Source organism: Homo sapiens, chromosome 3 (genome assembly GCF_000001405.40).
Source record: "Homo sapiens chromosome 3, GRCh38.p14 Primary Assembly".
NCBI classification, from domain to species: Eukaryota; Metazoa; Chordata; class Mammalia; order Primates; family Hominidae; genus Homo; species Homo sapiens.
The window spans coordinates 52,242,032-52,254,320 of NC_000003.12; the positions used below are offsets into that span (position 1 = coordinate 52,242,032).

The 12,289-nt window shown below is 53.7% G+C and overlaps 1 protein-coding gene across 7 annotated transcripts, besides 3 other annotated features; it reads left to right on the top strand.

Annotated features, from left to right (window-relative positions):
- Positions 3,602-3,971: a silencer, noted in NCBI's record as "silent region_14435". NCBI's record gives its function as "represses an Ori minimal core promoter by ATAC-STARR-seq in GM12878 lymphoblastoid cells {active_cell/tissue: GM12878}" and the evidence as "EXISTENCE:reporter gene assay evidence [ECO:0000049][PMID:35858748]".
- Positions 3,728-8,568, top strand: PPM1M (protein phosphatase, Mg2+/Mn2+ dependent 1M). 7 transcript variants are annotated; one of them, XM_005264879.3, is made up of 10 exons: positions 3,728-4,017; positions 4,664-4,781; positions 4,943-5,197; positions 5,651-5,763; positions 6,122-6,206; positions 6,304-6,422; positions 6,606-6,669; positions 6,925-7,032; positions 7,143-7,291; positions 7,614-8,568. In XM_005264879.3, the coding sequence occupies exons 1-10, from the start codon at positions 3,794-3,796 to the stop codon at positions 7,723-7,725; spliced, it is 1,347 nt and encodes a 448-aa protein (XP_005264936.1). In that variant the 5' UTR covers positions 3,728-3,793; the 3' UTR covers positions 7,726-8,568. The 7 variants fall into 7 exon arrangements, 6 of the variants coding, with proteins under 6 accessions (XP_005264936.1, NP_653242.3, XP_047303424.1 ...); NM_144641.4 differs by having other exon boundaries at positions 7,639-8,568; XM_005264881.2 differs by lacking the exon at positions 3,728-4,017 and adding an exon at positions 4,136-4,283 and having other exon boundaries at positions 7,639-8,568.
- Positions 4,012-4,071: a silencer, noted in NCBI's record as "silent region_14436". NCBI's record gives its function as "represses an Ori minimal core promoter by ATAC-STARR-seq in GM12878 lymphoblastoid cells {active_cell/tissue: GM12878}" and the evidence as "EXISTENCE:reporter gene assay evidence [ECO:0000049][PMID:35858748]".
- Positions 11,400-11,719: an enhancer, noted in NCBI's record as "active region_19934". NCBI's record gives its function as "activates an Ori minimal core promoter by ATAC-STARR-seq in GM12878 lymphoblastoid cells {active_cell/tissue: GM12878}" and the evidence as "EXISTENCE:reporter gene assay evidence [ECO:0000049][PMID:35858748]".

Sequence of the window (12,289 nt, forward strand, 5' to 3'; positions counted from 1 at the left end):
GGCTCAATATTTGTACATTTCTTTAAAGGGGAGAAGACAGTGAGGCAAATGGTTATGTTTTTGTGAGACTCTTAATTAGTGTCCCGTAAATCTAAGCTATATGGAAGATAGGGTGAACACTGGAAGAACAGGGAGTAACAGAAGAGCCAATTATGCAGAGGTCTCAGGTTAGGTGGAGGAATGATTGATCTCATCTTATCCTTGTTCTGCACCTGGGCAGATAAACTTGTAATTGACATTGTCAGTGTGAAATTTAACAGACTTTGGTTTTAGGAGTTAGGTTTAGGTTGCAGACCTAAAGTTGCAGTTGACATGTCCTTGTTTTATAGGAGGATATACATCCTGAAAGTTTTAGGGACTGGCAAAGAATTTACTGCTGAGCAATTTGTGATTGCAGTCACCTGGAGATTCATGAGGCTTTTTGCCTTTTTGTGGGGATCTGGTTAATGCATAATATTTTGACACAAGGTTGCAAGGTAACAGGTATCCATTTGGGAAAAGAATGACAGTTTTGGAGAACATTAGTTCTGCAGCATAGAATGAAGTGTTGCCGGAATAAAATTAAAAAAAAAAAAAAAAGGCTGGGTGTGGTGGCTCATGCCTGTAATCCTAGCACGCCTGTAATCCCAGCACGCCTGTAATCCTAGCACGCCTGTAATCCCAGCACGCCTGTAATCCCAGCACTTTGGGAGGCCGAGGCGGGTGGATCACCTGAGGTCTGGAGTTCGAGACCAGCCTGATCAATATGGCGAAACCCCATCTCTACTAAAAATACAAAAATTAGCTGGGCATGGTGGCGGGTGCCTGTAATCCCAGCTACTGGGGAGGCTGAGGCAGGAGAATTGCTTGAACTCGGGAGGCGGAGGTTGCAGTGAGCCGGGATTGTGCCAGTGCACTCTAGCCTGGGTGACAGAGCAAGACTCCATCTCAAAAAAAAAAAAAAAAAAAAAAAAAAAAAAAGGAATGCCAGTGTTGTGTGGCTCAGTCTCCAAGCTTAACTCTCCCTTTAGCATAACAAATTTGGGGGTCCTGAAATTTTTATTTTCCTTTATGAAAAGATCAATAATCCATTTGCATAAAAAATAAAGTCTATATGGAAAAAGCCACCATCACAGCCAAAACACAAATAACAAACTGTAACTTGTTACAAACAGCATACTTGTAACTCATTTCAAAATAAAGAGCTGATTTCTCTAATATATAAAGAGCTCTCATAAGTCAATAAGAAAAAGACCAATGGTAGCCAGGCGTGGTGGCACATGCCTGTAATCTCAGCTACTCAGGAGGCTGAGGCAGGAGAATCACTTAAGCCCAGGAGGCAGAGGTCATGGGGAGCCGAGATCACACCATTGCACTCCAGCCTGGGCAACAAGAGCGAAACTCTGTATCAAAAAAAAAAAAAAGAAAAAGAAAAAGACAAATGGCCCAGTAGAAAGTGTGGCAAAGGATACAAACAGACCATTCACAGAAAAAGATAGATAAATAACATCTCTCAGGAAAGTACCTCCCAGTCACCCTTTGTTGGAAAGTTGTTGAAGGATGCACTTCAGCAAAATGAGGGAGTAAACCAAGAGACATAGGCTTAAGATCCAGGCAAGAGTGAGGCGCTTAGGAGCCCAGGAAGCCAGAAGAGCCTGGTAGCACTGAAGGAACACTCAGGCCACCTTGGAACAGAGAGGATGGGATTGCCATGTGGTTCCACATGGCTCTGAAAATAGACAATGGCTAAGCTGTGCAACAGACTGCCTATGACATTTGGTTGCCCAGAGCTTCTGTGAAAATACTTCAGGACAAGGCTTTCCCCCACCCAGGGGTGGGTTGGGGAATAGAGTGTATGCACTTTGTTTTGTCCAATTTTAGACTTTAAAATCCTCTGAGGCATCAACTGGTGAGGGTGAGGAAGTGGCCCCATAGACTGAATTGGGCCTGCCCCACCCTGGTACCTTTCTGTTCTGTCACAGTGACAATTCACAGCTCAGAGGTCCTTTGGGAAACTTTCTCTGACATCGCCCCTATCCTCTTGCCAGCTGGATGAAGCAGCATCCACCAGAACTGCTACCATCACTGCAGGGGGCTTGGTGGGCAGAGGCCTGGCTTGTCTCCATTAGCACTGCGTTCCTGTGCCCAGTGTGGCCCCAGCAGACACTGTGGGTTCAGTCAATCAGCCCCCAGGCTGGTCTGGGACTGAGTCATCGGAGGGAGTGGGTGTTGGGCACAGGTCCCTGCCCTAAGAACCTTCCTTCTTGGGCCCGAGGAACTCCCACTGGGGCAGGACTAGCTGCTGGGAGGAAGTAGGGCTTACTGAGCGTCTACCTGGGCTAGGGAGTGGAGGTGAAGGTGGACTCCTCATACAGCTCATATGCAGGCACTGGGCTGTGGAGCCTTAGCCGCTTTTAATTGGCAAGCCCTGGCTTCCTGGAGGAGGAAAGGGGAAGAGAAGTGCCCTGGGGGCGAGGATTGAGTCAGCTGCATTGTCATAATGGAAATAGTACAGCCCTGGGTGTCCAAGACTTCCCCTCCATGGGCCTCAGAATCGTCCATATGATGTAACACTCTTTTTTTTGAGACTGAGTCTCGCTCTGTTGCCCTGGCTGGAGTGCAGTGGCTCCATCTCGGCTCACTGCAACTTCTGCCTCCTGGGTTCAACCGATTCTTGTGCCCCAGCCTTCTGAGTAACTGGGATTACAGGCGCACACCACCACGCTTGGCTAATTTTTAGTACAGACGGGGTTTCACCATGTTGGCCAGGCTGGTCTCGAACTCCTGACCTCAAGTGATCCGCCCGCCTCGGCCTCCCAAAGCACTGGGATTACAGGCGTGAGCCACTGCCTCCGGCCAAAGTAACACTTTTGCACAGGGAGTTGGACTTGAGTGACAAATGGGTGACAAAGTGCTTTGTTAACTCGCAGATGTGAAGGGGACACTGCGGCTGACCGCCTGGTGACAGCTAGCCAGTGGTTGAGAGACCGCAAGATGGTTCCTCGTCTTTCACTTCCCTCCGTCCCAGGTCTGAACTCGGACCAGCTGGAGCCTTTGGGGGACCACGGATTCCCCTTTACACTCACACAGATTTCTCTTGTCCGTCACTCACTCACAGTCCAGTAAGGATCCTGCTGTCTATTCCGCGAAGACATCTTGAATGCAGGGACAGCCATTTGGAAGACTGTCCTCGAGGGTGGCAGCAGCCTCTCAGGACGGGGAAAGCCAAGGTGCCCACTAAGCCCGTCTGGGGTGGAGGGTGGCAGGCCGGGGTGGAGAGGATTGGAGGCCGCCTGAAGGAACCTGTGCTCGGTGGCATTTACTCAATGTGGGGGTCTGACACCTCCCAGCTCATTTTGTCCCCATCTTCCCCTTGCGTCAGGTCCCCACCCAGCAGGAGGAGGTCCGAGGATCTGCGCGACGCTGGCCCCGCGGAGTGTGGGGGACTTTTCCTCTCAACCACCAGTGCCCCGCAAGCGTGGGTGAACAGTCCTCCCTGGCTACTGTGGGACGCTGGGCAGGCGACTTCGCCTCTCTAGGCCTCGGTTTTCCTGCTTGTCAAATGGGGCTGATGCCGGCGTGGGCTTCTTCAGGCGGTCGCGAGCGTTGACCCCTGGAGTCAGCGAACCAGCCGCGCACGCACTCCCGGGCGGAGGTCGGGGCTGGGGGGCGACGCCTCCCGTCTGCGCGCCCCCGGCCCCGCCTCCCGCCGGCGCACCCCTCCCTCGGCTCCGCCCGCGGCCCGCTTCTTCCTCCCGCGGGCGGCCCAGCCCTAGCGCCCCGCGCTCCGCGGGCAGCCCCCTGCCGCCGCGCCATGTCCGCCGGCTGGTTCCGGCGCCGCTTCCTGCCTGGGGAGCCGCTCCCCGCGCCGCGGCCGCCTGGGCCGCATGCCAGCCCCGTGCCCTACCGACGGCCCCGCTTCCTTCGCGGCTCCAGCTCCAGCCCCGGGGCGGCCGACGCCTCGCGCCGCCCAGACTCCCGGCCCGTGCGCAGCCCCGCACGAGGACGCACGCTACCCTGGAATGCAGGCTACGCCGAGTGAGTGCCCCTCCCCGACCCCCAGCTCAGGCCCGGGCCTGAACCCGCTTCGGGTCCTGCGCCCGCCTAGAAAGCGGGAGGAGCTGAGTGACAGTCCCCACCCACCTGTGGACAGCCCCTTCTTGCCCTCACCTCCGAATCCTGACAACTTCCCGGTCATCCCGACCCAGCGTTTTCCTTGGGATTCCGACCTCCCCCTCAGAGAAGACAGGAGGTCGGGAAGGACCTGCAGCCCAGGGGCTTCCAAGATGAGGCCCAGAGACTCGGTAGAGTTCCAGCATTCGGGGCTTTGGAGATTTCCCCTCGCCCTCTACCCCCACCATCTCACCCTGGGTATGACCTGCGCTGTATGGGACAGGGCTTTGGGCTGCGACAGGACAGGGGCAGGAATGGCAACCTACCCTTACCGTCTAGCCCTGGGTCACCAGGTAGGCTCCAGAGGAGCTGGGCCCTGACTTTTACCTTAGCCATGAGGCCAGTGAAGTTAGGAAGCTTACATCGTGGTTGTCTAAGTGTGTGTTAGGGACAGCACTGGGGAGCTGTTGCCCCAGAGGGAGGGGTCTTCTCCCTGTGCTGGCTTGGGTCCCTGTGCCCATGGGGACATAGGTGTGTCCCTGGAGGGTCGCTTACCATTTCCCGGCCTCAGGATTATCAATGCAGAGAAATCTGAATTCAATGAGGATCAAGCCGCCTGTGGGAAGCTGTGCATCCGGAGATGTGAGTTTGGGGCTGAAGAAGAGTGGCTGACCCTGTGCCCAGAGGAGGTGAGTGCAGTCTGAGTTCTTGGCTGGAATCCCTCCGACAGGCTGGGGCCACGACCTGCAGGCTGAGGTTCTTACCCTGCTGCCCCAGGTCCTAGTTAGGTTGCGTCAGGGGACAAGTGGGGAAGTCAGGCAGAGGCTGACACTGAGCCCTTCCTGTGCAGTTCCTGACAGGCCATTACTGGGCACTGTTCGATGGGCACGGCGGTCCTGCAGCAGCCATCTTGGCTGCCAACACCCTGCACTCCTGCTTGCGCCGGCAGCTGGAGGCCGTGGTGGAAGGCTTGGTGGCCACTCAGCCCCCCATGCACCTCAATGGCCGCTGCATCTGCCCCAGTGACCCTCAGTTTGTGGAGGAAAAGGGCATCAGGGCAGAAGACTTGGTGATCGGGGCATTGGAGAGTGCCTTTCAGGAATGTGTGAGTGTGTGGCTTTTGGCTGGGGAAGAAGTGGAGATTTTGCCCCGGGGATCTCAGGAAATGGCATCTCTGTATACCCATGGTCATCACACCAGATCCTTGGATTGGGAGGATGAGATTGGGTTGGTTGGATTGTTACTAACAGCCATCACTATCAGCATAACCCCTCTCATTTATCCAGCACCTACTGTGTGCTAACTGCTTTTACCTGCATCATCTAATTGAATACCCTATTGGTCCTTGGTGCAGGGGCTGGTTTCTCTTCCTATTTTGAGTAGCACTTCCCTTGTCTAGATCTCCTGACTGCAGGGATCTTGGAGGTATGGCTGGACTTTGGGCTGGGACTGTCAGGCCTGCTGGTAGAAGTGAACTGTAGGGTAGGGTGGGGATTGAGAGACAAAGTAGTATGGTGGCAGAACAGGCAGCAGCTAAGGTGGCCTCGGTTTTCCCCAGGATGAGGTGATCGGGCGGGAGCTGGAGGCCTCAGGCCAGATGGGCGGCTGCACAGCCCTGGTGGCTGTGTCCCTGCAGGGAAAGCTGTACATGGCCAATGCTGGGGATAGCAGGTGAGTCACCCCTTGGAGGGTGGGCAAGGGTGGGATGGGGAGGGCATAAGCAGCAATGGGGACAAGCAAAGGTGGCTGGAAGTGGAGGGATAGTAGGAAGGATTGACTGGCTGAATTGTGTGTGTACTTGTTATGTGTCGAGTGTGGACAGTGGCTGCCGGGGAGGGCAGGGACCTCAAAGGCCCCGCTAAAGGGCTAAGCCTTCACCCTTGCAGGTCTTAGGTAGTCATGGAGGGCTTTAAGGGATCATCATGGACAGAGCTGGATCCTGGTGGTTGGAGGAGGGACTGGTAGGAGGGTGGCCATGGGTGAGGGTGGAGGCCTCCTCCTAGACCTCTCCCTTCTCTCCTCAATCCAGGGCCATCTTGGTGCGGAGAGATGAGATACGGCCACTGAGCTTCGAGTTCACCCCAGAGACTGAGCGGCAGCGGATCCAGCAGCTGGTAGGTGCCCTTGGCAGCATGGAGGCTGTGAAGCTCCAACTCCTGGGTCCAGGGCCATAAGAAGGAGTATGACCTGAGCGCAGCCTCCCCACCCCAGGCCTTTGTCTATCCTGAGCTTCTGGCTGGTGAGTTCACCCGACTGGAGTTCCCTCGGCGGCTGAAGGGGGATGACTTGGGACAGAAGGTTTTGTTCAGGGATCACCACATGAGTGGCTGGTGAGTGGGGATGGGGGACAGGTAGGAAGGGAGACCCCTGGGATCCAGGCCCAGCCGTATGGCCTGGGGCCCCCCTCCACCTTGGCAGGGTGGCACTGTGAGGGTGTGACAGCTGGGCCCTGAGTTGGGGAAAGATGAGATGGGGCACAGGGCTTGGGTTGATGCTGGCTCTGCTCCTGGTAGGAGCTACAAACGTGTGGAGAAATCGGATCTCAAGTACCCACTGATCCATGGACAGGGTAGGCAGGTCAGTGCCTGGTCCTCCTCAACCCCAAGAATCCCTCTTCATTGTCCCCTGCAGAGGTGGGAGCTCCTTTGCCTCTTGCTGGTAGCTGTGGCTGGTGGCCTGGGATTTGCTCTGAGACTAGGAATTTTCTCTCTCAGTCCAAGGCTTCCAAGGGCCACAGTCCACCTCTCCCTGTGTGCTCTGCAGTGCTAGGGCCTGGTACTTGTGCATTTGCTGGAGCTGTTTGCCATCGCCTCACACCTCACTTTCCCTCAGGCTCGGTTACTAGGAACACTGGCTGTCTCCCGGGGCCTGGGAGACCATCAGCTCAGAGTCCTGGACACAAACATCCAGCTCAAGCCCTTCTTGCTCTCTGTGCCACAGGTAAGGGGGCAACGCTGTCCAACCCAGCTTCCATCTGCCCAGAAAGGCAGACAGTGAGGCTGGTGGGAGTCGGGAAGGGAGTGTGCAGGATCCTCAGGCTTAATTTGTAGGTGACTGTGCTGGATGTGGACCAGCTGGAGCTACAGGAGGATGATGTGGTTGTCATGGCAACTGATGGACTCTGGGATGTACTGTCCAACGAGCAGGTGGCATGGCTGGTGCGGAGCTTCCTCCCTGGGAACCAAGAGGACCCACACAGGTACTGTAGCTGCTGGGGACCTGCCTGGGCCTGGGTTGGTGCCAGCAGCAAGCCCAAGTAGTTATGGCTGAGAAGACAGAGCACTGACAATGAGCTGGCAGCTGGCCAGGATCAGGGCTGTCTCAAGCTTCTTGGAGGAGGCAGGGAGACCGTGGGTTCCGAAAATCCCTGGATTTAGACTCTCATGGTCCAGCCCGTGGCCCTCCCAGACTTGCTGCTTGCTTGGTCCACAGTCGGACTGCATTGCTTGGGTCCCCATGTCCAGCCTTGTGCAGTGAGTTCTCCTAAGGTCTGGCCTTGCCCCTTTGCTCTGCCCCTGAAGTCTATCTGCAGGATGGTCTTCACAGGTTCTCAAAGCTGGCCCAGATGCTGATACACAGCACACAGGGAAAGGAAGACAGTCTCACAGAGGAAGGGCAGGTGTCCTACGATGACGTCTCTGTGTTCGTGATTCCCTTGCACAGTCAGGGCCAAGAGAGCAGTGACCACTGAGGATTCAGACACTGTATCCCAGAACTGCTCTAGTGCCCGGGTGTGGTCTGGGCATCCCTCCAGTGTGACCAAGAGCAAATCCTGCCTGCCCTATCCCTAGCCACCGCCCAGTGCTCTCACTATCCACCTCAACACACATCCATCTCAAGAGGAACATTTATACCAGGCAGTCAGAGCTGGAAGTGTATGGAGAGCCCAGCCCACCAGGTCCTGCCTTTTGCGGTGATAACCTTCTCTGGCAGAGTGACTTTACAACTTAACTAGGAAACCCATGTGAGGCTCCTCAGACAGGATCTTGAACAGCCCAAAGTATCATTCTCAGATAGGGGCACCCAAGCTAAGGGTATTAGCCAAAGATGCCAGGATGGGTAGCTAGCCCATGTTTAGATCCAGGTCTCCAATTCATGGTTATCAGGGCATGTGTTCAACAACCCCCAAAGTCCACGCAGGTGGCTTGTAGAAACCTTTGGGCAGCCTCATGTCTGCTAAAACAGCCATCTTCAAGACAGCCCCTGAAAAGAGACCAGTTCAGGTCCTGCCCTGCTGTTCTTTGCTGGAGATGAGGAACAGGTGCTGGGGCTAAAGTTTGGGGTAGAGCACAAGGGACAAGAGGAACTCTTGGAGTTGGCTGGGTGAGAGGGCTCTCCATTTGCTACCTGTAGTAGCCTGCCTCTTAACTGGTTGCTTCTCCCTAGTTCCAGCCCTGCCCTGGTCTGATGCCCCAACACTGCCCTTGCTTTGTTTTCCCTGTCACCTCCCTATTATTAAATGTTTTCTACAGAAGAGCCTTGTGAGTCATGAATTGCTGTACAGCTTGGATTAAGGATACCTATTGCTAATTTTTGTTACCTTTGAGTGGATTAGTTTTAGCTCCACCTTGTAAGCCTGCATATAATCAGTACTATGTTTTCTTTGCAGTTTCCCTAGTTCTCAGCTTGGGTGAGCCCCAGTGAGAGAATTTTTGGCCAGGAAACAGAAAAGTCTCTACCACCATTTTTTTTCCCCTTTTCTTTGAGATGGAGTCTCGCTCTGTTGCCCAGGCTGGAGTGCGGTGGCATGGTCTAGGCTCACTGCAACCTCCAACCTCCATCTCCAGAGTTCAAGCCATTCTCCTGCCTCAGCTTCCCAAGTAGCTGGGATTGAAGGCATGTGCCATCACACTCAGCTAATTTTTGTATTTTTAGTAGATAAAGGGTTTCACCATGTTGGCCAGGCTGGTCTTGAATGCCTGACTCCAAGTGATCCACCTGCCTCAGCCTCCAAAGTGCTGGGGTTACAGGTGTGAGCCACCGCACTAGCTGTCTTTTTTTTTTTTTTTTTTGGGAGACAGGGTCTCACTCTGTCACCCAGGTTGGAGTGCAGTGGTGTGATCACAGCTTACTGCAGTTTTGACCTCCTGGGCTCAAGTGATCCTCCACCCTCAGCACTCCGAGTAGCTGGGACCACAGGTATGCACCACCACACCCTGCCAACTTTTTATTTTTTGTAGAGACAGGGTCTGTGTTGCCCAGACTGGCTCAAACTCCTGGATGCAAGTGATAATCCCACCTCAGCCTCTCTGGGATTACAGGCGTGAGCCACCATGCCCAGCCTCCACTACTTGTAGGCTCTGGGCTTGAGATACTGGAAGGGTGGTTTTTTCACTTAAAAAAAAAAATGTAAGGCCAGGCATGGTGGCTCAGACCTGTAATCCCAGCACTTTGGGAGGCCGAAGCAGGCCGATCATGAGGTCAGTTCGAGACCAGCCTGGCCAATATGGTGAAACCCTGTCTCTACTAAAAATACAAAAATTAGCCGGGCATGGTCGCACGTGCCTGTAGTACCAGCTGCCCAGGAGGCTGAGGCAGAATAATCGTTTGAACCTGGGAGGTGGAGGTTGCAGTGAGCTGAGATTGTGCCACTGCGTTCCAGCCTGGGCAACAGAGCGAGACTCCATCTCAAAAAACTAAAAATAAAAAGTAATGAGACAGGGTCTATTTTGCCCAGGATAGTCTCAAACTGCTGGGTTCAAGCAGTCCTCCCAGCCTGTAGCTGGAATTACAGATGTACACTGTGACTTTTTCACTTACTTTTGAATGCAGATTTCTATAAAGCTATAATTAGCTGGATAAAAGTTAGGGCCTTAGGGCTTGCTGTTTAATAAGCAGCTTAGTTCATCTTCTCCAAAAAGACTATGCTGTCATCTTGGCTGGGGCACAGTGGCTCATGCCTGTAATCCCAGGACTTTGGGAGGCTGAAGCAGGTAGATCACTTGAGCTCGGGAGTTTGAGACCATCCTGAACAACATGGTGAAACCCCATCTCTATCAAAAATACAAAAAATTAGTAGGGCATGGTGATATATGCCTGTGGTCCCAGCTACTTGGAAGGCTGAGGTGGGAGGATCACCTGAACCCAGGAGGTGGAGGTTGCAGTGAGGGGAGATTGTGCCACTCCACTCCAGCCTGGACAACACAGTGAGACTCTGTCTCAAAACAAAACAAAACAAACAAAAAAATGGGGCCAGGCCTGGTGGCTCAGGTGTGTCATCCAGCACTTTGGGAGGCTGAGCAGGCAGATCACCTGAGGTCCGGAGTTTGAGACCAGCCTGACCAACATGTTGAAACCCTGTCTCTACTAAAAATACAAAATTAGCCAGGTGTGGTGGCACATGCCTGTAATCCCAGCTACTCGGGAGGCTGAGGCAGGAGAATCGCTTGAACCCGGGAGGCGGAGGTTGCAGTGAGCCAAGATCGCACCGTTGTACTCCAGCCTGGGCAATAAGAGCAAAACTGTCTCAAAAACAAAACAAAACAAAAACAGCCATGCTGTCAACTAGAACGTACCAAAGCTCAAGTGCTCAGGAAGTATCTATTGAATTACAAGGCAAACCACCTTCATGACCTCAGCTTTACTTGACCCTTCTCTGATTTACTCCTACTTTATAATTTAGGTGAATTCTCTCACCAGGCAACTGACAGCCCAAAATTGCAGCCAAGAAGAATATCCAACAGGTCGCAGAGCCAATGGTAAAACCTGTATAATTAACTCAACTGAGAGGCTCTCAGAACCCACCCCACCCCGGCTTTTTTTTTTTTTTTTTTGAGATGGAGCTTCACTCTTGTCGCCCAGGCTGGAGTGTAATGGTGCCATCTCAGCTCACTGCAACCTCTAGCCTCCTGGGTTCAAGTGATTCTCCTGCCTCAGCCTCCTGAACAGTTGGAATTACAGGCACACACCACCACACCCAATATTTTTAGTAGAGATGGGGTTTCATCATGTTGGCCAGCCTGGTCTCAAACTCCTGACCTCAGGTGATCCACCCACCTCGGTCTCCCAAAGTGCTGGGATTACAGGCGTGAGCCACTGCACCCAGCCTCAGACCCCCTTTCCTACCCATTAACTCTAGATTTCATTTCCTACACATTCTCCAGGGAAGACTGGAAAAACTGCATCAGATATTTCCCACTGCTATATTCCACAGTGCAGGACTTCAGGGTTGAACCTGTCCACAGCTAGGCCCTATGGTAGTCTTGCTAGGACTCCTCTAGCCAGGCAGCTTGAGTGCTGTCCTACCAGCCTGTAGGAGTGTCACTTCCTCTTTCCTCACCACAGCCTCCACTACCTCACCACTCCGCCTGAGCAAAAAAAAAAAAAAGGGTGGGCAGCATCCTGTGCCTGCTTCTCTTACCCACATCAACTGCTGAGCCAGCTCGCCCCCACAGCCTGCTTGCCTAGCTTGCTACCATGCCTGCTGTTGTTCCTCACGTCACAAGGCTGAATGAAGCCTGGGGGGTGGGTGAAGTAGGTCTTTCAGTTGCGAGCAGGACAGAGACCAGAGTGGCTGCTCTAAGGGCAGCCATGCTTACCTACTTGTTCATGTCTCCCAGCAGAGCTGAACACGGCAGCAGTCCTCCCACCAGGCCAGGAGGGGGTCTCTTCCTACGTACGTAGTGTCAGAAGAGCCTGTGCATGGCCTGTCACACACAAGCTAGGATGTTCCCTCCGCCACTGTTGCAGAGTCCCATGAGCAATGTGAAAATGTGGCAGGCCCAAGGTTTTCTTCTCTGGTCCAGAGAGGGCGAGGCAAGAGCAGGAAGCAGGTTCTACAGCTCTGAGAATGCTGAGCTAGAGCAGCAGCCTCCAGGCAAATGGGTTACCAAAGCAATTGCCTTCTGCCAGACTGGGTGCTGGGGCCTCAGAGAGACTCCAGTATTCTTGCCTTCCTGAAACCAGGGTCTAGCAGGACAAAACATATTCCAACTAGAGGTTGTCAATCTGGTGAAGGGTTGAGTAAACAGTAGAGGATGCAAGGCAGCCTGAGGTAAGTGCCAGACAGTCTCCGAAGATTCAGGCTGGCTCAGGCTTGCCTTGCCCCGTCAGTCATTGCTGGCTCTATGGCTATTACAGCCTGGGGTTGAAGGCTGGTTCTAGGGGTTCCTCCCACCAGCCCATAAATCTTAGTTACCAAGGGGCAGTCAGAGGCAGTCCCAGGGAGCCCAGCAATCCGTCTACACAGCATTACAGC